Source organism: Homo sapiens, chromosome 4 (genome assembly GCF_000001405.40).
Source record: "Homo sapiens chromosome 4, GRCh38.p14 Primary Assembly".
Lineage (NCBI taxonomy): Eukaryota > Metazoa > Chordata > Mammalia > Primates > Hominidae > Homo > Homo sapiens.
Genome location: NC_000004.12, coordinates 104,552,196 through 104,578,282, shown reverse-complemented (window position 1 = coordinate 104,578,282; position 26,087 = coordinate 104,552,196). Strand labels below are relative to the sequence as shown.

Here is a 26,087-nt window from a genome sequence, read left to right as displayed (position 1 = left end):
AATATCTTCCAGATAAGAAGACACTGCTTATCTTCCAGAAAGTATTCTCAATGAATGGCAATGACAGATTGTTTTAAATTGCTATTTGAAAATTATTTTAAAATGAAGCATTAAATGGCTAGAATTTATTTATTTTGGCCACACTGTGAGTATATCTTTTGTTTGGCCATCCAGCTCTACTCTCCCTGCTTTCCCACCTTGCTCTCTGTCCCCGGGAGGCTGAAATATAGACCTGTATGGACTAGTCCATGGGATTCCTAACTCTGGCTGCTGATAGTGCTCTGCCAATAAGGAGTCCTGGCAAGAGATCAGAGATGGATCAGAGATGGGTAAGAAACTGATGTCAAGGTATTTATTCTCCTGGATTCTTCCCTTTAGGGTCACCATAGGGCAGTTATTTCCCTAAATGAATCACTGCTTCTCTCTAGATAACATTCCTTACAGACTCTACTCAGGTCCTGGGTGGTAAAATCTCCACTGTTAGCCTCAGGGGACCACCCTTTCAATTGTGATGTTCCCACATCTTTCCCTTTATGGTCATCCCAATTTATTGTGTTGGAATCTTGAGGTAGACACAAATAATCAGATCCACAGAATATAAATTATGGTTATTTAATCTGAAATAACCAGAAAATGATAAAGTAAAAAGAAAACACATTTTTGAAAATTGTGACTACTCAGCATTTACATACACACTGACAGGACATAACTATTAATTAGATACACTCACTGTCTCAACTTCTAATTTATGATATATAAAACTCAAATATACTCTAACATTAATGACAGTTTTATAAAAATCAGGCATATTTAATTTTCAACACATGTTTTAAACTATACAAAAGAAATCAAGTTACATATTTTAGAGAACTAATATTTTTATTTGTGATAGCATACTTTGACTTTTGACCTTCAAGAGCATTTTTTCTTTTTATCAAAGAACTAAAGTATTTTTTATATATAAAGTTAGTCATATTATCTTGGAAATATGTATCAGTTTAGGAAGTAGTGAATGCATTAAAACATAGCAGAATTTATACCCCTGTTTGGGGTCAGACATTTAAGTTTTCCATTCTTAATAATTCAAGTCAGATTCTTTATAGACTCCCATTTTCAGGCACCACTGTAAAAATGTAGATGTATATTATCACCAGAAACCTGTGACTTAAATTGAAGCCATGGCAATCTGGCCATGTTAAAGCATGAAGCTGGATGTGCACAACTGAAATGGATCCACCTAACTTTTTAAGTCAGGAAGCTGAAATCCCCTTAGGGTATTCTTACAAAATGTAAATTCACTGATGTAAAGACCTCAGCAGAAAATCCCATATTTTACTTGATGGCACTTTAACACTATCCTTTCCTAAAGAAAGGATAAAGCAGGATGAAACCTAACTGACAACTTTAGAAAGAAATATTTATAGAGAATATGGTGTCCTTTTAAGATCAACTGATGATTGCTACCCTTCAGCATTAGATAAGTTTTTATGATTTTTTTTTTTGAGAAAAAAAGAAGCCAAAATTTTTTTTGTTGAATAAATTATAGTCTCACACACACACCCATACACACATACACACATGAAAGCATGGTGGTTATATTATCACAAGACATAAGTTATTCTTTTTTTCCCATTGAAATATTTGGTTAAATTTATTTGACAGGCCTGGACAAGAGTTCTAGCTCTATTACTGGGCATTATATGTTTCAGGGCAAGTAAGACACTGATTTCACTAAGCTAAGACAGAAGGGAATGGTAGCAGTGAAACACTGGAAAGCACAGGATGGGTGAAGATGAGCTGGTTTTTGTTCCCTTTCCTGTAGTCCCTCACAGAGTCTGACTTAGAGAGGACACTATTCCAACTAGACCTCATATTGGACAAAATAAGTCCCTTATATCTCGGGATCACATCTTTATCCTGGAAAAGAGATTTGGATTCAGATCATTGAAAGTAAGGCCTGTGCTGTAATAAAAAGTGCCCCAAGGTCCTAAAGTATGCATTAAAGATGACAAAGGAATGTTTTAAAAATCATGCGGAAGTTGCCCAGTCACTAAGTAAACCTACCAGTTTAGCTTAGACATGAGGGTGTAATTCAGAATAATTCCATTTTCCCAAAGACACAGGTTCCAAGCCATATAGTCACCTCTGACTCTTTCTTTGTTGCCATTTATATTCAATCGGTCATCAAGAACTAACGTTTTTAGCAGCCTAAATGTATCGTCAAAGTGCCCCTTCCTTTCTGTTTCCATGGTAGTGACCATGAAATGACCACTATTCAGCCTTTTGGCTAAGTACCTGGGTAGTTGGAAATAAACTCCTAAATTAATCCTATAATGCTAGTATTTCCTCTCTCCACTCCCTACATGATTATTAGATTAATTATTAATAAATCCCAGCTTTCAACCTGTCACTACTGTGCTCTAAATGTTTCAGGATGTCAAAAAGTAAAACCCAATCATTTTTACTAAGCATTCAAATCCAGTACAACTTTAAACTCTAATGGAATCATGCACGAAAATATTATCATTACAATCACTAAAATTTGGGTCTACTTAACAGTTTTATGAATTGTGTTTATATACATAGTCTCATTATATTCTCTAAACAATCTTGTAGAAAGGTGATATTTACTATTAATATAATTATTACCATGTTTAATAATGCTGGCTTGAGGAAAGGAAGTGCAAAAGGAATGTAACAGAGACAAGAAGAGGGCAGAGACAAGCTTTGTGAAATAGCCTGAGGTCTAAGGCAGGGCTGATCTGTGTGGACAAAGGAGCCAACTTCTGGGCATCTTAGAAAATCAAGGGAAGCAAGTGCTTGCATTTCTTAGGACAAGTGGCCCCTTCAGAGACAAGTGGCTTTGCTACCAGGGGCAATTAAATCTACCAGAAAGAAGTTGGCCCTGTAAGGTTTTAATGTTTATAGTTTGTGGCTCTGTTACGTGGTAGGAGATACAAATTACAAGAAGAGAAATGGGAGTTAGGGAGAGGAAGTATGAAAGTAACTTTCCAGCCTAAGAAATTGTTTCTACTCTTCTGAACTTTCTTATCACCGGCCCTGTCTCCTGTAACTTCTTGAGAAAAAAGACCTCTGACCATCTAGATTGAGCCCATAGCTGACCCCTCCAAATGTCTCGCTGCTTTAAGTCTCTTTGTCTTTGTTATTATGTTACATAAAGGATTATGGTTAGTCTTAGATTATAGTGTTACTCTGGATTCCTAGAGGAGGATATTCATAAATAGAAATAAGAAATAGCCAAAATATATGAATAAGAGGTATAGGGGAAAGCTTGTCTTTTTGTTTTCCTTATATTGTATTTGTCTTTTCCTATATGTCTGCTCCATTATCCTCTTGCTGATACCTACTGATAATTCCTCCTCCACAGTCCATGGTGCAAATCTAAATAATTGGCTTCATTACCATTATTAATCATTGGCAGAACACTTCATGCAAAGCCTCTCTTTGAATTGCTCACTAGACTACAGATGGCCTACCTTTGTATCAGGTGCCCTCCCTTAGTCTGATAAGTAAACCTAACCAAGAGTTTTGGGTGAAATAATTATAGCTAGGATGGGAAGATAAACATGGCAACCATCATGCACGACATGTTCAGTAAGTGTTCTCTCCTATTATGTTTCCATTCTTCTTTCTTCCGACCTGTACTTAACCAGTCCTTCAAAGAACAGCTCTTATATTGAATTCCTTCCAAACTTCCCCAGCTAGCCCACGTCACAGCATGGTGCTGTGGCAAGAATATGAGGCTTAACATTACACAGATCTCACAATTACCACAAATTCATACCTTAAGTAGGTACTTCTCAAACTTCAATGTGCACGAGAATCACATAGAAAACTGATTGGAACACACATTTCTGTGCATCAGTCCCAGAGATCTGATTCAACAGGTCTGGGTTGGACCTTAAATTTGCATTTCTGACAACCTCTCAGGTGATTTTCATGCTGCCTGTCCACGAAGCACACTTTGAGTGCAACTTCCTAGCTACATGGGTTTGGGCATGTTATTTAGTCTCCATCTCTAAAATAGGAAGACTTGCAGTATCTATTTCACTGGACTGTCAAGCAATTTATAAGGATCAAAATATATTCCATATTTGGTATATACTGGCAATAAAAATTAACTGGTTCACCTTCCCATTCTCTGATCTTTCTTACTTATTCAATCAATAATAATAATTCAGTACCTCTTGTATGGTACTTCCTTAAAATTTATTTAAGACCAATACAAATTTATGTGGTGGTATGTTATGACTCTCCAATTAGATTCCAAGCCACTCAGGAGTGGTAGCATATTCCCTACAATATTTTGCATATAGTAAGCACTTCTATTGCTTTATGAAGAAACAGTGAGGTACCAGGATTAATTGCTTAGGCATGGTGCCCAACACCTCAGTTTGAATCACGGCTCTGCAACTGAGAATCTATGTGGCTTTACACAAATTATTTAGCTTCTTTCTTCCTCAGTTACTTCTTCTGTGTGATGGTTAATAGGTTCATATTGAGTGTCAATATTGAAGGATTGAAGGATGCAAAATATTGTTCCTGGGTGTATCTGCGAGGGTGTTGTCAAAGGAGATTAACATTTGAGTCAGTGGACTGGGAGAGGCAGACCCACCCTCAATCTGGGTGGGCACCATCTTATCAGCTGCCAGCATGGCTAGAATAAAGCGGGCAGAATAAGATGGAAGGAGTGAACTTGCTGAGTCTTCTGACCTTCATCTTTCTCCCATGCTGGATGCTTCCTGCCCTCCAACATCAGACTCCAAGTTCTTCAGCTTTTGGACTCTTGGACTTACACCAGTAGTTTGATAGGGGCTCTCAGGCCTTTGGCCACAGAATGAAGGCTGCACTATCAGCTTCCCTACTTTTGAGGTTTTGGGACTCAGATTGATCCATTACTGGTTTCCTTGCCCCTCAACTTGCAGATGGCCTATCATGGGACTTCACCTCATGATCCTGTGAGTCAATTCTCCTTAAAAAACTTCCTTTCATATATACATATATCCTATTTTTAATAGTTCTGTTCCTCTAGAGAACCCTGACTAAAATGCTCCGTACAATGGGGATAATAATATTAGCCTCCTCCTAGGGTTGTTGTATTAAATAAGATCCTACACAGTAAGAACTACGGTAAGTGTTAGTTACTGTTACTAAATTCATTTTGTAATGTCTCCCAGTGGAAAGACTGAACATTTAAAAAGGGAACAGAAACTGAATGTTAAGATAGTATAAAATGCTTTACTAAAATACAATTATTTTTATTTTCAAGTATTACAAAGTCGAGTTTAGTGTTCAGTTAATTGTGGGTTCTTTGTTCACAAATAACTTCTATGCTAACTATTGCCGCACATTTAAAGAGAGTTATAAATGCTTACATCTCTTTTAAATTTATATTAGCTGCAAGTATCAAAGATGATCTCATTATGCTTCCTTCACCTATGGTACACAACTATTTTGTTAAGCAGCTTTTCTGAACACATGCTTTCTACAAATTATAGAAAGTGGCTTGGGGTATGACCAAGAAAGAAAACTGTGTGTAAAGTTGTGAACAACCGAGTCACCTACTGTGTCAATATAATCAATGGAGCATTAAAATATACCCACCAACATAACATTTCCTTCACTGCTTTATAGCTACTTACTTATCTCTCCTCCCTGCTAACATGTAACTTACTTGATCATGCACATTTTATGTTTTCTGTAATCCAGGAAGACTATGCATGTCACTGCAGAAAGAGCATAATTTTTAGAGTCCAACTATGGATTTCAGTGAGATCTCCTTCAAACCAGCTACGTAAACTTGGAGAGTTCATTGGTATCTCTGAGTCTCAGCTTTCAAAAAGTGAAAATAAAACAAAACTTGTGGGTAATGACCATGAACTTTCATAGTAAAGATAATGTTTTATTATGTATCTAAAAGTACTTGTATCAAACTAGATAATTAATAGTAGTTAACTATCAACTAATCTTTCTTGTATTCTAGGCATTTACCTTGGTGAGTAATACAATGTAGACACTCGAAAATGTTTCTCGAAATAACAATTGTATACATTAAGAAAGTTGGTAGTGTTTCATTCTCAATGTTGACTAATTCCAGCGCACAAATCAGAATGTTCAATAGCACTAAACCACTAAGTCAGTCACAGCTCTCCTCACATCTTCCTAGAAAATCACGACAGTTGCAGGTCACGTCATAGTTCAGCATTTCTTGAAAATTTGGAGGATTTGACCATATGGTACCCATATTCCTAAAATGCATCAGTTAGTCACAGGTGAGTACCAGATGACCAGGAGGTTCTCACCACTTTGTGAAATCCTATCAATTTTACTTGTGTCCATGTTTACAGATTCTATCAGTCAGGGTCTAACCAGGAATACAGAAGCCAATACTGTAGCATAGGCAACTAGTTATACAGGTGATACCGACAATGACATAAACCAGAGATTGACATGGCAAGAAGATACTACTAACACTTGGCTGGAGAGAAAAAGGAGGAGCTAGTGTTGTAGGAGCCCAGGGTCATGGTTACGTGAAGGGTACACTGGAACACACAGAGATGAAGCCATTGCTAGAGAAACAGTCAGACACAGCGAACAAGAAGGGGTGGGGAGAATGGAGCTAACTTGGTGGTCTCCTACTAGTCCCCTACCCTCAAGTCTCCTGCCAGTGCTTGCCATTGTTTTCACCCTGCTGGAGGCAGCTGACTCAGAAACCTGAGGAATGCATCTTGCATGGGTGAGTCCTTCTGTGACACAGAACAGAGCAAGGCAAGGAGGACATAGACATCTGAAGGCAAACAAGCCTAGAACCTGGATACTTATCTGCTTTATCATTTGTATTGTCTGCTTGATCCCTTGGTCAGTGTTTCAGTTTGTCATGTTTGTTACAGGGCAAGAGGCCTTATAACATTTCTTTTCAGAGGAGTAGCAACTATCTCACTTCTTTTACTTTCTTACTTCAATGCACTAAGATTGATGAAACTACTTTATTTGGTTTCTTGTTTTAAGCTGTCTTTTTATGTATCATGCCATCCCTAACCTTAGGAGTTACATCAGGGCAAACTCAATAAGACATATGATAATGGCTGTTGTTCTCTGAACACCCACTATAGGTCAGGCCCTGCATTGTGTGGCTAATTATAACAACAATTTTGTGAAGTTAGTATTACTCCTCAGTTTACTTAAGATAAACTACAATCTAAGGTAGGTTAAGGAAGTTTCCAAGTTTGCATGGTTGACGAATGGCAGAACAGAATTCCAATCCAGGTTAGCTAGACTACTTCAGATACTATTTAATTATTTCCATTATTCATTCTGTCTCTCAATGTAATTTTATTTTATTTTTCCCTGTGGCATTCTAAGTACTCTTGTCCTAACTGCTTGAAAACCACCTGTCTTATTGTTTAGATGTCAGAGTGATATGATTGCACAACACAACTCCTTGACTGTACATAGAATAACAAATCAATGGTTTGGGCTAGGAACCTTCCCTAATGAGGCTACACACACTTGTATGTAAGAAAAGTCTGGCTGGAATATTTTGTTAGGAAAAATGTGGATTCCAGTACAAGACCAATCAATAGATTTCTTCCAACATGTGTATTCTTACTAGATAGATACATAGATAGATAGATAGATATATAGATAGATAACAGCTAGATAACCACATAGATAGATAGATAGATAGATAGATAGATAGATAGATAGATAGAGGACAGATAGACAGATTAAATAGATTTAGGTTGGTGCAAAAGTAATTGCAGTTTTTGGCATTAAAATGTCATTGCTTTTAATTCCAAAAACCACAGTTACTTTTGCACTAACTTAATAGATACTAAGAGATGCAAAAGGGTTTCAAGAGAACACATATTTTTGGAGAACACATGGAGAAGATTTAGGGATGAAAAGACTCCATGGGGGTTTGTGATACAGATAAAATAATAATAATAATAGTAATACCAGTTTTAGTAACCTCAAAAATTAAATACCTGATACATTTACTTTTCTCCTCTTTTTATTTATTATTTAAATTACTACCCCCAGATTAACAGCCTAGCAGGTACTAGAGTACCTGGTTTTTCAAAGTCCAGCAGTAAAATTCAATTCATATGAAGGCTTAATTTAAGATCTTTTCATATTTTGATTTTTCTGTTGCGTTGCACATTTCTGATCACTCTGTTTTCTTTATGACACTCTGTCCTCACCGTCTCTCTGTCTGTCTTTCTCTCTCTCTCTCTTTTTTTTTAGACACTACTAGTTTTTGGTTCTGCTCCATCTTGAGCATGCTTGTCAAAATCCCTGCAGTGTCCTCTCTCATTTGCTGGTTAAAAGCACAGGCTCTGCGGCCAGACTGCCTAGGGATAAATTCTGACCCTTCAACTGACTAGCTCTGTAACCTTTGGCTGTTTTCAAAATCTTCTTTTAAAAGACATTATGATACAGAATATACATTAAGTTTGAAAAGTTTAATTTTGATATCCAATCTAAACAAGAATCTGCATGATTACTAAACCAATACAAACATGTTCATATTTGGTTAACTTTAGCTTACAAAGTGTATACTCAAGGACTAATTAGGATGCTTTTGGCTCCATGTAACAAATCCTCTTTGGACCGACATATAGAGAAAGGGCATTTGTGTGTTTATCAATGAGCAGACACAGAGATACAGTATGCTTCAGGGTGGGTCCCAGGTTTTTCTGCTGGCTCAGTGAGGTCATGAAGACAGGCTCTTTGCGTCTACTTTGCTGCCTACACTCAGGCTTCATTCTTAGACGGTTCCCCTCGTGGTGGCAGGTTTGCTGCCAGTGGCAGTCTGGGCTTTGTGGCTGTGCATGTGGCTTTGGTAGGAAATGTCAGAAGGTGGTCAGAAGAGATCAAGGAGTAGAGAGAGAAGATATGGAATTGTTGAGAAGGAACTCCTTTTCCAGAACACCCAGCAAATCTCTCCTGCTCTCTCATTGGCCCACATTGTCTTAATGTTCCTCGTCCCTAGCAAGGGATGACAGTGACATAATTAATCAGCCAAATCTGTTTGGGGAGAAGGAATGAGACACAGTAAAATATACAGTGCCAAACTTCTTCATTTGTAATGGTAAAATCTTCGCAGGAAACTAGTCTTTGTTACATAAAATGTATTTTGTTGTCATGGGGATTACTTCATAATTATGTGGTTCAAGTTATGTGCTGAAAACTTCTTGGCAGCTATGTAGGAGACAGTCCCATTTAAATTATCATTTTGATGTGACCTGTGATTAGATTATTTTAATTTCCGGATTGTAGGGGAGATAGAAAAAATTATTTATCAATTGCCTATTTATAGGTGACCAATAAAAATGATTAAAACAAAAATTGTATAAGTAACTAATATGCAATTTACCTTTTCCATACACACCAACTGGAAGAAATACTTTATATAATCATTTACATTAGAAGGCAAGTAAAATTAGAATAAAGTAAATACCCAACTGAATTCTACTGAGGTAATCCCAACTACTCAGGAGGCTGAGGCAGGAGGATCGCTTGAACTCAGGAAGCAGAGGTTGCAGTGAGCTGAGATCGTGCCTTTGCACTCCAGCCTGGGCAACAAGAGCAAGACTCTGTCTCAAAAAAAAAAAAAAAAAAAAAAAAAGGAGGGTGGGTGGCTGGTAAGATGGCCAAATAGGAACAGCTCCAGTCTGCGGCTCCCAGTGAGATCAACACAGAAGGTGGGTGATTTCTGTATTTCCAACTGAGGTACCTGGAGGTACCTGGTTCATCTCACTGGGACTGGTTAGACAGTGGGTGCAGCCCACAGAGGGCGAGCAGAAGCAGGGTGGGGTGTTGCCTCAGCTGGGAAGTCCAAGAGGTCGGGAAACTCCCACCCCTAGCCAAAGGAAGCCCTGAGGGAGCCTGCCTTCAGGAACAGTGCACTCCAGTGCACATACTATGCTGTCCCACAGTCTTCGCAACCCACAAACCAGGAGATTCCCTCGGGTGCCTACACCACCAGGGCCCTAGGTTTCAGGCACAAAACTGGACGGCCATTTGGGCAGACAGCGAGCTAGCTGCAGGAGTTTTTTTCATACCCCAGTGACACCTGGAACGCCAGTGAGACAGAACCATTCATGCCCCTGGAAACAGGGCTGAAGCCAGGGAACCAAGTGGTATAGCTGAGTGGATTCCATCCCCACAGAGCCCAGCAAGCTAAGATCCACTGGCTTAAAATTCTTGCTGCCAGCACAGCAGTCTGAAATCAACCTGGGATGCTCGAGCTTGGTCGGGGGAGGAGCATCTGCCACTACCGAGGCTTGAGTAGGCTTATAGATAGACTTCCCAACTTCCTGGGACAGAGCACGTAGGGGAAGATGTGGCTGTGGGCGCAGCTTCAGTAGACCTAAATTTTCCTGCCTGCAGGCTCTGAAGAGAGCAGCAGATCTCCCAGCACAGCATTCGAGCTCTGCTAAGGGACATACTGCCTCCTCAAGTGGGTCCCTGACCCCCATGCCTCCTGATGGGGTGACCCTCCCAGCAGGGGTCAACAGACACCTCATACAGGAGAGCTCCAGCTGGATTCTGGTGGGTGACCCTCTGGGATGAAGCTTCCAGAAGAAGGAGCAGGCAGCAATCTTTGCTGTTCTTCATCCTCTGCTGGTGATACCCAGGCACAGAGGGTCTGGAGAGGACCTCCCGCAAACTCCAGCAGACGTGCAGAAGAGGGGCCTCACTGTTAGAAGAAAAACTAACAGAAAGTAATAACATCAACATCAACAAAAAGGACGCCAACACAAAAACCTTTTCCAAAGTCCTCAGCATCAGAAGCCAAAAATAGATAAATCCACAAAGATGAGGAGAAAAAAAGGCTGAAAATTCCAAAAACCAGAACGCCTCTTCTCCAGAGGACCTCAACTCCTTGCCAGCAAGGGAACAAAACTGGATGGAGAATGAGTTTGGCAAACTGACAAAAGTAGGCTTCAGAAGGTGAGTAATAACAAACTCCTCTGAGCTAAAGGAGCATGTTCTAACACAATGCAAGGAAGGTAAGAACCTCGATAAAATGTTACATGTATTGCTAACTAGAATAATCAGTTGAGAGAAGAATATAAATGACCTGATGGAGCTGAAAAACACAGTACAAGAACTTCGTGAAGCATATACAAGCATCAATAGCTGAATTGATCAAGCTGAAGAAAGGATATCAGAGATTAAAGATCAACTTAAAGAAATCATGCATGTAGACAAGATTAGAGAAAAAACCATGAAAAGGAATGAACAAAACCGCCAAGAAATACAGGACTATGTGAAAAGACGAAACCTACGTTCGATTGGGGTACCTGAAAGTGATGGGGAGAATGGAACCAAGTTGGAAAACACTCTTCAGGATATTATCCAGGAGAACTTCCCCAACCTAGCAAGAAAGGCCAACATTCAAATTCAGGAAATACAGAGACAACACCACAAAGATACTCCTTGAGAAGAGCAACCCCAAGACACATAACTGTCAGATTCACCAAGGTTGAGCTGAAGGAAAAAATGTTAAGGGCAGCCAGAGAGAAAGGTCAGGTTACTTACCCACAAAGGGAAGCCCATCAGACTAACAGCAGATCTGTCTGCAGAAACCCTAACAAGTGAGAAGAGAGTGGGGGACAATATTCAACATTCTTAAAGAAAAGAATTTTCAACCCAGAATTTCATATCCAGCCAAACTAAGCTTCATAAGTGTGGAAGGAGAAATAAAATCCTTTAGAGACAAGCAAATGCTGAGAGATTTTTGTCACCACCAGGCCTGCCTTGCTCCTGAAGAAAGCACTAAATATGGAAAGGAAAAACCAGTACAAGCCACTGCAAAGACATACCAAATTGTAAAGACTATTGACACTATGAAGAAACTGCATCAACTAATGGGCAAAATAACCAGCTAGCATCATAAAGACTGCACTGTCTTTACTCCACACATAACAATCAACTCCATACATAACAATATTAACATTAAATGTTAAACATTTAATGTTAATCAACTCCACACGTAACAATATTAACATTAAATGTAAATGGGATAAGTGCCACAATCAACTCCACACATAACAATATTAACATTAAATGTAAATAGGCTAAGTGCCACAATGAAAAGACACAGCCTGGCAAATTGGATAAAGGGTCGAGACCCATCAGGGTGCTGTATTCAGGAGACCCCTCTTACGTGCAAAGACACACATAGGCTTAAAATAGAGGGATAGAGGAATATTTACCAAGCAAATGGAAGGCAAAAAAAAGCAGAGGTTGCAATCTTAGTCTCTGATAAAACAGACTTTAAACCAACAAAGATCAGAAAAGACAAAAAGGGCATTACATAATGGTAAAGGGATCAATGCAACAAAAAGAGCTAACTAGCCTAAATATATATGCACCAATATATATTTAGTGGGTGCACCAATACAGAAGCACCCAGATATGTAAAGCAAGTGCTTATAGACCACAAAGAGACTTAGACTCCCACACAATAATAGTGGGAGATTTTGACACCCCACTGTCAATAATTGACACATCAATGAGAAATAAAATTAACAAGGATATTCAGGACTTGAACTCAGCTCTAGACCAAGCAGACCTAACAGACATCTACAGAACTCTCCACCAAAAATTAAAATAATATATGTTCTTCTCAGCACCACATTGTACTTATTCTAAAATTGACCACATAATTCGAAGTAAAACACTCCTCAGCAAATGCAAAGAAAGGAAATCATAACAAACAGTCTCTCAGACCACAGTGCAATCAAATTAGAACTCAGGATTAAGAAACTCACTCAAAAGCGCACAACTACATGGAAACTGAACAACCTACTCCTGAATGACTACTGGGCAAATAACGAACTTAAGGTAGAAATAAATAAGTTCTTTGAAACCAATGAGAACAAAGACACAACTTACCAGAATCTCTGGGACACAGCCAAAGCAGTGTTTCAAGGGAAATTTATAGCACTAAATGCCCACAGGAGCAAGTGGGAAAGAACTAAAATTAACACTATAATATCACAATTAAAAAAACTAGAGAAGCAAGAGCAAACAAATTCAAAAGCTAGCAGAAGAAAAGAAATGAGATCAGAACAGAAATGAAGGAGATAGAGACAGAGAAAACCCTTCAAAAAAATCAGTGAATCCAGGAGCTTGTTTTTTGAAAAGATTAACAAAATAGACCACTAGCCAGAATAATAAAGAAGAAAAGAGAGAGGAATCAAATAGACACAATAAAAAATGATAAAGGGGATATCACCACTGATCCCACAGAAATACAAACTACCATCAGAGAATGCTATAAACATCTGTATGCAAATAAACTAGAAAATCTAGAAGTAATGGATAAATTCCTGAACACATACACCCTTCCAAGACGAAACCAGGATGAAGACAAATCCCTGAATAGACCAATAACAAGTTCTGAAACTGAGCCAGTAATTAATAGCCTACCAATCAAAATAATCTCAGAACCAGGATTCACAGCCAAATTCTAACAGAGGTAAAAGGAGGAGCTGATACCACTCCTTCTGAAGCTATTCCAAACAATAGAAAAAGAGGGAGTCCTCCCTCACTCATTTAATGAGACCAGCATCATTGTGATACCAAAACCTGGCAGAGAAACAACAAAAGAGTAAATTTCAGGCCAATATCCCTGATGAACCTTGATGCAAAATCCTCAATAAAACACTGGCAAACCAAATCCAGCAGCACATCAAAAAGCGTTTCCACCATGATAAAGTCAGACTCATCCCTGGGATGCAAGATTGGTTCAACATATGCAAATCAATAAGCATAATCCATCAGATAGACAGAACCAGTGGGAAAAAAACACATGATTTTCTCAACAGATAGATACAGAAAAGGCGTTTGATAAAATTCAACACACCTTCATAATAAAAATGATAAATAAACTAGGTATTGATGAAAGGTATTGCAAAATAATAAGAGCTATTTATGACAAACCCACAGCCAATATCACACTGAATGTGCAAAAGCTGGAAGCATTCCCTTTGAAAACCAGCACAAGACAAGGATGTCCTCTCTCACCACTCCTATTCAACATAGCATTGGAAGTTCTGATCAGAGCATTCAGGCAAAAGAAAGAAAGAAAGCATGATCAAATAGGAAGAGAGGAAGTCAAATTGTCTCTGTTTGCAGATGACATGATTGTATACCTAGAAAACCCCATCATCTCAGCCCAAAATCTCCTTAAGCTGATAAGCAACTTCAGCAAAGTCTCAGGATAAAAAATCAATGTGCAAAAATCACAAGCATTCCTATACACTAATAATAGACAAACAGAGAGCCAAATCATGAGTGAACTCCCATTCACAATTGCTACAAAGAGAATAAAATACCTAGGAATAAAAGTTACAAGGGATTTGAAGAACCTCTTCAAGGAGAAGTACAAACCACAGCTCAAGGAAATAAGAGAGGACAGAAACAAATGGCAGAACATTCCATGCTCATGGATAGGAAGAGTCAATTTCATGAAAATGGCCATACTGTCCAAAGTAGTTTATAGATTCAGTGCTATCCTCATCAAGCTACCATTGACTTTCTTCACAGAATTAGAAAAAACTACTTTAAATTTCATATGAAACCAAAGAAGTGCCCATATAGCCAAGACAATCTTAAGCAAAAAGAACAAAGCTGGAGGCATCACACTACCTGACTTCAAACTATACTACAAAGTTACCGTAATGAAAGCAGCATGGTACTGATATCAATACAGACATATAGACCAATGGAACAGATCAGAGGCCTCAGAAATAACACCACACATCTACGACCATCTGATCTTTGACAAACCTGACAAAAACAAGCAATGGGGAAAGGACTCCCTATTTAATAAATGGTTTTGGGAAAACTGGCTAGCCATATGCAGAAAACTGAAACTGGACACCTTCCTTACACCTTATACAAAAATTTACTCAAGGTGGATTAAAGACTTAAACATAAGACCTAAAACCATAAAAACCCTGGAAGAAAACCTAGGCAATACCATTCAGGACATAGGCATGGGCAAGGACTTCATGTCTAAAACACCAAAAGCAATGGTAACAAAAGCCAAAAGTGACAAATGGGATCTAATCAAACTAAAGAGCTTCTGCATAGCAAAAGAAACTATCATCAGAGTGAACAGGCAACCTACAGTATGGGAGAAAATTTTTGCAACCTATCCATCTGACAAAGGGCTGATATCCTGAAACTACAAGAAACTTAAACAAAGGGCTAATACCCTGAATCTTCAAGGAACTTAAACAAATTTACAAGAAAAAAACAATCCCATCAAAAAGTAGGCAAAGGATATGAACAGACATTTCTCAAAAGAAGACATTTATGCAGCCAACAAACATACAAAAAAAAGCTCATCATCATTGGTCATTAGAGAAATGCAAATCAAAACCACAGTGAGATACCATCTCACACCAATTAGAATGGCGTTATATCATTAAAAAGTTATAAAGCAATAGATGCTGGAGAGGATATGGAGAAATAAGAATGCTGTCACACTGTTGGTGGGAGTGCAAATTAGTTCAACCTTTGTGGAAGACAATGTGGAGATTCCTCAAGGGTCTAGAACCAGAAATACTGTTTGACCCAGCAATCCCATTACTGGGTATATACACAAAGGATTATAAATCATTCTTCTATAAAGACACATGCACACGTATGTTTATTGTAGCACTATTCACAATAACGAAGACTTGGAACTAACCCAAATGCCCATCAATAATAGACTGGATAAGGAAAATGTGGAACATATACACCATGGACTACTATGCAGCCATAAAAAGGGAGGAGTTCATATCCTTTGTAGGGACATGGATGAAGCTGGAAACCATCATTCTCAGCAAACTAACACAGGAACAGAAAACCAAGCACTGCATATTCTCACTCCTAAGTGGGGTTGAACAATGAGAACACAGGGACACAGGGAGGGGAACATCACACACTGGGGCCTGTCAGGGGATGTGGGGCTAGGGGAGGGATAGCATTAGGAGAAATACCTACTGTAGATGAATGGTTGATGGGTGCAGCAAACCACCACGGCACATGTATACCTATGTAACAAACCTGCACGTTCTGCACATGTATCCCAGAACTTAAAGTATATTTAAAAAAAAAAAAACACAAGAATACCCTAGTTTCATAGGAGTTAACATTTCCAAATGAAACATTAATGGAATTTCTCAGACCAGCGATATTATAAAGCCCTAGAGAAATTTTGTAGACATTCAAGTCTCCCCAAGATGATTGCATCATGTTTCAGAGATAACTTGGATTTATAAATTACTTTTACAGGTTAACGAGGTTGTCCACAATTTTTAGAGAATTAGAATTACTTAATGTGAGAAATACAGAAAGCAGAACATGTTTTATTTTAGCAATCTGAGACAGACTTTCAAAGTTAAAATTAACTTGCATTAAACATTCTCGTACCATTAGAATACAAAATTGATTGAAGAACTACAAATTAGGAGTAATACTAAAAATGCTATTTTATTTTGAAGAAATTTGTAACCAAGTTAGGAAGGGATTGATGTTAACTATAGTCATATTTAATATCTACATCAATCACCTGGAAAGGGAGTAAACAATATGTTAATGAAATTTGCAGATGATACTGAATTGAAGGGTGCTGTTAGCATGCATTATGACAAGGTAGATAAATGATTTTGAAGGATTATATGTAAGTAAAAATGACCTTATACTTGAAAAATCAGGCTAGTACAATTGGTAAAAATAATTTTTTAAAATTCACTCAGTGGAAGCAAAAGCAAGTCATGTATAATGGACAGAAAGAATGTACCATCCATTTACGGCAGATTTGACTTTACTAGCAATGTAATGGAGTCAAAAATGAAAACGGTATTTGAGAACTGGACATGTTAAATATTCACTTAACAATGACAGTAAAATACTGTTTATATAATTCTGATGGGACAACTATTTGAATATTAAAAATAATTTGGTATTTACCAATGTACCCAAATATAGGAAAATTAGATTTAATATAACTGAGATGAGATGGGCAATAAAAATGATTAAAGAGTTAGCCTGATGAACTTATAAGAAAAAAATTAAAATAATTCATCTTGTCTGCAAACCTAAGCAAAGGAAACACAAAGAACCATATGTAATAACTTTCTTCACTAAGGCATTCTACAGCAAAACTCAGTTCATTCAAAGTAAAAGGCATTCTTTGAATAATCCAGATTAAGATTATTTGGTAATTTTCATTAAAACAATAGTAACAATGATGTTTCTGATGGAAGGCTAAATAAACAATTGTATACAATTATCTACTATGTGATCATTTGTATATTCCAGGGGTCATGCGAGAAAAGAAAGTGATGAGAATCAGCTACAATAGCAATAACTGCTGAAGAGTCAAACAGTTGTTCAAAAGGCGTCTTGACTATACTATGTTAGCAATGAGAGCAGATGGAGGTTCCCCCTAATTGGCTTTTAGATAAGGCTACAAAATCATTGTAGTTGGATTTGTCCTTCTGCCTAAAGACCAAAGGAAATAATAGCATTTTGTTTTTCTATTTCTTCATTCTTCAAAAAACTTTTATGCTTATTTTACTTATTAATTGTCCCAAAAAGTAGTATCTTTTTGGCCAAGTATTTATTTATTTATTGGTGTGCTTTTGTTTCATTTCGTTTTAGTGCTGGGAAAGTGAGACATCAGATGGTTTCAAACAAGTGTGTACAATATTTATATAAACAAGAATTTTGTCACTCACACACTCAAAGACACATACATAGACACACACATACTGCTTATTACCCTTCACAGGGATAATTAAATTTAACAACAGTCAAAAAATGGGTTCTTCAACCCAGCAATCCTATTAATGGGTATATATTAAAAAAAATCATTCTACCAAAAAGACACATGCATTCGTATGTTCATAGCTGTGCTATTTACACAAGCAAAGACATGAAATCATCCCATTGGATAAAGCAACTGTGGATATATACACCATGAAATACTATGTAGCCATAAAAAGAATGAAATAATGTCTTGCAGCAACATGTATAGAGCTGGAGGCCATAATCCTAAGCAAATTAACACAGGAACAGAAAACCAAATACTACCTGTTATCACTAATAAGTGGGAACTAAGCACTGAGCACACATGGACATAAATATGAGAACAATAGATGCTAGATGCTGTGGCTTACTAGAGGGTGGGAGTGGGTGGGTTAAAACACTACCTATCAGTTACCATGCTCACTACTAGGGTAACAGGATCTGTGCTCCAAACCTCAGCATCACTCAATATTCCCATGTAACAAATCTGCACATGTATACCCTGTATCTAAACTAATAGTTGAAATTTAAAAAAAAAAAGGGTTCTTATCTAAATGTTGAGCAATGGGTCTTTGCCAATTTATGTCTGGGTCAAAAGTAGGGTGACCAGTAAAGGCAACAGTTCCAACAAGTCATTATATGGAATATTTCTGCCACATTTATTCTTCATCGTCCATTTCTGACACTGGCTGATTTGCTCATGAATTGTTGATAGACAGAGAAGTACACATAGTAACTCTAGAGTAAAATGAAACTGAAAGTTTGGCCAGCTGTTGAACACCATATAATTGTCTTATAAAGCAGTATTATTGTGTTTTAAAATATTTAGAAGGAAGAAAAGGAAACATTCCATTAAAAAACTAGTTTAGAGGGATCCAAAACACTGCTGAGTTAGTTACCATATAACTTTTCATATTTTATGAGTTTAGGGCTAAATTCAATGACTTGCAAGGTTTTCATGATGTGTGCCCTTCAAATCTTTATAGTGTCATCTCCAGCCACTCTCAACACACACGCGCACACATGCAGACACACATACCATGATTTATCCAAACCAACAAAAACTTGGTATTTTCCACATATGTTATGCACATGTTGTCTCTATTTAGAATGCATTTCTTCCCTTCATCTGTCTAGAAAATGATTATCTTTCAAGGTCCAGTTCAAATGCCACCTTTTATGCCAAGCCTCACAATATCTTTCCTCAACCACCTTCCCTCTTCAGACAGAATCAGTCACAATTCCTTTGCGTCCCTACAGTACTTATGTACAACATCACAGTGATAACAAAAGCAACAACAACTACCACTATTTCAATTATAAGCATCATTTATTAAATATCTAATATGCCAGGCACTGTGGTAGGTATTTTCTATACAGTCTTTATTATCTTTACAATAACACCTGAACATATGTATTGTTCTCCCCATGAATAACTTAAGGTCCAGAAAAATTGAAAAGTATATTAAAAGTCCTATGACAGTCAACATAATCCCACTTACTCTACTCATTGCAAATCTTTACTCTTTTCATGTGGTCATTTTCCTTTTCTGTATGTCTCAATTCTTGCTCTGATAATTGTACTCAGTAATTTTTTATTTATGAGAAGGCAGTATGTCATCTTCACAAGACAGGCCCTGTGGCCACATTGTGTGGTTTAGAATTCTGGGTTCCAACTCTTATTAGTTGAGTGATCCTGAGTAATTTATTTAGCCCCTCTGTGCATGAGTTTCTTCATCTATAAAGTGAGGATAAGACTCGTACCTTATGGGGTAGCTTTGAGGATTAAATGAGGTAATATATATAGCTAATATATATAGCAAGTATAATAGCATCTGCCTTGCTATAAGTGCTCCATATCTGTTAGCTATGATTATTGGTTTATGCATGCCTTTCTCCCATCTAGACTGTGAACTCCTCAAAGGCAGGAATCATATCTCATTCATCTTTTCATCTCCTCCACCTAGAACAGCATCTTGCAAATACCAGGAACTTGCAATGTAGAATTACAAAAGTAGATTTATGCCAATGGTGAGTTAGTATATTGGGGGTGGTGCAGAAGGGCAGGGAGGGTAAGAGTTATGTATATGACACCAATATATGATTGCCGTGAGTCACTTTTTCCTGACAGGGGAAAAAAGAAAGAACCCATCAGTTGTGTGGACTCCAGCAATCCATCATTGCACTCTTCCAGCTGGGAAGCTACGATATATGCTGCAGAACCAATTTCCCCTTGCAAAAGGGACTGAACAGATAGTGAAACTCTCAAGCGCTAAGAAGGTATGCTAAGGTGTCAGGAGTTTCTCACCCGCAGCTGCTACTGATCCCCTGCCCCAGTTAGCTTGGAGCCGCCAATTCTGCTTCTTCATGCTGTTCCCAGACCTGCAATCGAAAATTGGTTTCTGCTATATGCAATGATTAAAAAAAAATCCCACCAGAAGAGATCTGCTCCAGTGATTAAGGTCAATGGACACTATCATGAGCTCTGCTCTCTTGCTTGCTATTGTTCTGATCTTTTTTGTTCTTCTATATGCCCTGATTTCTGGCTACTGTCCAAAATTTCAAATTGCCTTTACCTTCAGTCCACCCAAACTGCCCCGTACTCTTAATTCCTTCTGCCCTGTTATCTGCTCTCTTGCCTTGTGGCTGAATCCTGAACACATTGACACAAGATATTCATCTTTGTCTTGTTTTATGCTTGATGGAATTTCCTAATCCTAACCCTATGTCCAGGTCAGCAACACTGGTGACTGGCCTAGCTGTAAAGAAACAACATTGTACCTCTTCTCAAGTTATGGACCTCTTACACACAAATGTCTTATAAAAGAAGGTGTGTTAAATAATAGACAACAGTTCCAGGCATGGGAATCAGAGTGAGCCAGACCTGATCCATAGCCTCAACTCTATCATGCCCACCTCTGTGCTCTTGGACAAGTTACTTACCTGAATAAACCTCAGTTTCTTCATTTGGATAAAGAGGCACCTAATGATTCTTACTTTGTAGAAATGTTATTTTGATTATTTAGCTAACTAATGCATGAAGTCAGTTAGTAATTAATATTGTTATTATTAAAAATGCATTCCAAATTACTGGTTCAGAGATGAATCATAGCTAAACATAAGACTCAAAATGTTAAGTCATCATATTATCAAAGTATCTTATTTTAGACCTAGAAATGATCTTAAATATCCAATCATTTTCTTTAAGACGGGAGGAAATTGTGAACCAGAGAGCAAGATTCAGAATTTTGTCATAATAAATTAAAGTTCCCATTTCCATATCTCAAATGCAGATTTTTGTCCTAGACTTAACAATTGCAATTTGAAGGGCTTCATTCAATTAATTCCCATCTCCATCCACCCATCCGTCCATCCACCCATCCACTCCTTCAAAAAATATTTATTGTAGAGTACCTGCTGTGTTTCAGTCTCCCTCCTGAGTCCTGGGAATTTGCAAAATAGTCATAGTCTCTATCTTCATGGTACTTTAATTCTACTTCCTTCTGTTGTTTTTTATGTCACTCTAAGTTTTTGCTTCTGTTATTAGAAAATGAATTAATGTCCCTCTGCATATAAAAAGTAGTCCTTTTAGAGAGATGTAAGCAGCAGCCAGATTTGGAGGAAAGAAAGTTATCATTGGTAGAAGTGGATCTCATAAACTGTTTTTATCAAAATGTCGCTTAGAAGCCTTTAGGTAAACACATTCTTCATGTAAACTTAGGGAACCGACTTTTTTTTTTAAATCTGTTTATCCTCTCCTGCTTTTGGATTTCTCACTCTCCCGTTATTACAGTTAAGTATGCACTAGAACCTTGAGCACATGTACACACCTGAAAAAATTGTGTATATTTTAATGGATTTTAAATGACACAAGAGCAGTCGCTGTGTTTTATACCATTTTGGGAATCTTAGTACTTGATAGGTGCTCAATAAATGTATTGTTAATAACAATAAAATGTCAATGAATAATTTAAAACTCTTCTGGAAATGGTTAATTAATAATATTGTTAACAGCTGAAACTGTCGGCTTTTTGCATATTACCTTTGCTTTTCTCTGAGCTAAGTGTTGCTTTTGGATTAGTTAGCAGGTGGGGTAAGTACTGCCTGATTGGCAGTTGATAGTAATCAATGAAATTAAAGGGAAGTTGTCCCTCTCATCATTTATATCTCAAAGTGCTCCATTTATGACAATGCTAAACTCACCCAGAGAGCTTTTTGACATGTTAAAAACTCTAGCTATTTGGAAACTCAAAATATTCAAGGTATAGTAAATGAGAAGATACATGGAAATTTTAGCTATGTGGAAGCCATTAAGGAGAGAACTGCTGAAGTGTTGGAAAAAGTCAACCAGCCTGAGTAACTCCTGAAGAGCCTGGCTTGATATGGTGCTGGGTGATCAGTGCTGCCCATAATGGAGACTCTGGTCTAGAATATAACACAACTACATTTCCTAACATTGACAAAGCACTTCATCTAATCCTCCCCATAATGCTGGGAAATCAAACATATTTCAAACTCAGTGAAATATTTCAGCAGTATTAACAAACAAACTAAACCTTGGAAAAGTTGAGTATAACTGCTTAACATTACTTGATCAATAGCCAGTAACGTTTAAGTGAAGACTTATTTTTAAACCATGTTTTTTGACCAAAAGTCCAGTTCTATTTTTATGAAATCACAAATGCATCAGTGCATGTGATGAATTCCTTCTCAGCATGGGATACATTGCCTCCCAAAAATTGGTTTATAATTTAAACAGAAAGGGAAATCTAACACACAAAAAATGAAAGAATAATAAGTGATTGTTATAAAAATAAGTGTTATCTAGAGTGGTAAGATAACTCTTTATGGAAGAGAAAGATCTTGAAATGTGCCTTCAGGCATAGAGAGAATTTCAACTAAGTAAAGAGCGAAGGGAATGACACTCACCCTGAAGGTTCGGCAAAAGCCAATGCGTGTATACCTGGGGCTGCCATTTAGAGAATCCATAAGGCATCCATTAGATGGACTGTGAAACCATTCCCCCCAACTCCCCCAAAAAAGACAAGTAAAAAGCAAGAGAATGTGTTTTTACCTTTAGCTTTAAGAACTAACAATAACATTATTTTGATATTTTTTGACACAAGGTCTTAAAGGTTGTTTGAATGACTGATATTAGACTCAGGGATCCTAGCATAACAAAAGCTAGTTTATTAGACAAAGAATTGGGAGTTCTTAAATGCTTTTTCTAGGTTCTCTCATTTCTCACTGGGAATAATTCATTTATCAATGCCACAAACAAATAAAGAAACAAATAATCCACAGTTGTTCTTGGTTTTGCAAAGAAGAATCAATTTGTATACCAGATGCTCCTCTTAAAACACAGCAGAGTATTTAGGCACCAGGTTTTCTTCCTGCCTTCATACCTTCTCAACTTCATCTTTCCAGAAAAATCCATCAAATAGTTCAAGCCAAAAATGTTGGCATTATTCTTGACTTTTCTTTTCTTATAGTCCACATCCAATACCTCAATGGGTCCTGTTGTCCCTACCTTCAAAATGTATGCAGGATCAGACTACTGGTCACCACCACTGCTACCACCTTAGCCCATTTAGTCTGTATTAATTCAATCATTTCTTAACCACTTACCCTGCTCTGTCCTTTCCTCTTTTTTCCGTTCTCAACAAAGCAGCCAAAGTCATTTTGTCTAAAGGGAAATTAGTTCATTTCACTCATAAACTAAAAACCCATTAATTGCTTCCTATTTCATTCGGAATGAATGTCTAATTACTTACAAAGACCAATAGATTTCTACATGACCTGCCCCTCATTACCACTGCAACCTCATTTCTTACCACTTGCTCACTCCATTGCTATACTTTCAATACAACTTTGTACCTGCTACAAAGTTGTCTAGTATCTTCTACCTGGAGTTCTCATCCCCTAAAATCTATATGTCTCACTCTCTCACCGTTTTTGGGTCTTTACTAGAATATCTTCTCAGTGAGAACTTACTAGTAATGCTATCTAAACTTGTAATCTACCACATACACCTTCTATCTTCTTTATGCTTTTTTCCCTTCTTTTCACACACTACTATCTAATATACTACATAGTTTGTTTATTACTTATTATTCTGACCCCAAGATGAGAATGTAAAGCACTATGAGAGTAGAATGTATTTTTTATTCACTATTTTTTCTAGTACCTAGAACTCTACCTGGAACGTAAAAAACACTATAAATATTTGTCCAAAAAGTAAGTCAATAACTTTTTAAGAGGGTATGGTAGATTAATCAGGTTTATATCCCACTCACTTAACCTCCTGGTTTCACTCTATGGCAGGTTATGTTTTCCAAAGATGATAGCACCAATATCTCCTAAATCACATGTCTTATTATAATATAACATTTTTACTTCCCCATCAAGAGGCAGAGTGGGCTCATAACTGTTTCAGCTAATAGGGTCAAGATAAAACCAATGACCTCACAATATAACCCTTTGTTCACACCTCAGAAAGATTAACAATGATGCTTCATAAACCCTTTCACACAGATGAAAGTTTTTCTAAGTACACAAGGCCATGCCTCCCAAAACTTCTCTGTTAAATATTAGGTCTCCTTAGACTCTTGAGTGCGTTGTTCCATAGCAGCCTGACAGGGGTCCTCTTTAGTTCACAGATCCTCAGAATTAGAGAAAACTAGAGAAACTTTAAGAGTCTAACGCAACGAATCATATTCAAGGAGCCTCATCCACACCTGGACCTGATTTAAATAATGAACTGTTGGTCTTTAAGTTGACATCCTAATAGAGGTTTTGGGGGGTGAGGTGAATGTATTTTGCATATAGAAGGAATGTAAATTGGTGAGGCTAAAATGCAGATTACAGCAGACTGTATTTTTTTAAAATGACTGCAACAATATCTCCTGCCGCACATAATTTTCTCCAACATGGTTTTGACATTCTGTTGAAATGGAGGCTGATTCTTCTCCTTTTCAATCTAGCTTCTATTGCCTTGATTAATTAAATATGATGGAATTGCTGCTGTATGACTTCTAAAGATATGTTATAAAAGGCAATTCAGCTTCCGTCTTGGAGTCCTGGGCTTGGAGCCCTGAACTACCACATAAGAAGTCTGAGTCCCTTGTGTCCACTATACTATGTGGAAGCCAAACTACATGGAGAGGCCACATGGAGGCTACCCAATCAACACTACTCATCTTTGAATCTCCACAGCCCAGGTCCCAGGCCTGTGAATGAATGAGCCTTCAGATGATTCTAGCCTCCAGCTGCCAAGCTACTCCTAAGCTTCAAGTCTTCCTGAAACCAGTAAAGGACAGCCACTGCATTTTTGTCTAAATTCCTGACCCCCAGAATCTGTGAGAAACATAAATTGTTTTTAGCCATTATGTTTTGGAATATGTTATTATTCACAATAGTAACTGGAACAAATCTCCTTGTAATATATTTTGCAGCTCCTTCCAACAATAAGTGGAGTCCATCGTCCACCCCTTAAATCTAGGCCAAGAATGAGACAGAAGTGAAGGTGTGCCTGTTCTGAGCCTAGGCCTGAAGAGGCCTTGTGCACTTCTGCTCTTGCCTCCTCCTTGAGCTTGGGCTAGGCTGATGGAGAATTATTGACCTACACATGCTTATCGCTAATTAGTCATGTGAAAGAGATCTGCCTGGATTATCAGAGGTACCTACTTAATCTGCAGCTGACCACAGGTGTATGACTGAGTGAGCCCATCTAAGACCCCACACACCCAAAACACTCAGATGACTTACAGATTCATGCAAAATAATAAATGCTTATTGTTTTAAGCCACTGAGATTTTCTTGGGGGAAGGGGGCTGGATGAGGAGGATTATTACATAACAATAGCTAAATGATACAAGGGGAGAAAGATCTCCCAGGTAACAGAACTCTTGCATATTTTGAGTGGAAAAAGCTATGGTTGGAATGTTGGAAATAAGAATCACTGTTTATTTGTGGTCAACCAGTTATTTTCAATTTTCTCATATCTATGCTTCCACGCTCATGGTATATAAGTCAAGAGGACATGCAGGAGAGACCATTTTCTCTGTTATTCATGAATGGAATAAAATAATCTTCTCCTTCTCTCTCTACCATTCTAATTCTTACATCAAATCCAATGAACATACTTTGATTTTATAACAGCTCACTTCCTCTGTAGAATTAGACTTAACACACATAATGACATAGCTTCATGAACAGCATTACCCTACTCCTAAGCCTAGATA

At 37.6% G+C, this 26,087-nt stretch overlaps 2 long non-coding RNA genes across 3 annotated transcripts in view; one reads left to right on the top strand and one right to left on the bottom strand.

Moving 5' to 3' along the window:
* CXXC4-AS1 (CXXC4 antisense RNA 1) overlaps positions 1-26,087 on the bottom strand; it is a 206,628-nt gene that overhangs the window by 119,310 nt on the left and 61,231 nt on the right. The window lies entirely within an intron of this gene.
* The window catches only part of LOC124900745 (uncharacterized), a 141,925-nt gene that overhangs the window by 77,657 nt on the left and 38,181 nt on the right, over positions 1-26,087 (top strand). Inside the window, exons 1-3 of one of the 2 annotated variants that reach the window (XR_007058210.1) lie at positions 24,587-24,651; positions 25,060-25,202; positions 25,299-25,522. The exons of the other annotated variant lie outside the window; for it this stretch is intronic. This is a non-coding gene — a long non-coding RNA (uncharacterized LOC124900745). Of the gene's footprint in view, positions 1-24,586; positions 24,652-25,059; positions 25,203-25,298; positions 25,523-26,087 lie in introns of those variants that run through there. 2 annotated transcript variants of the gene reach the window in all.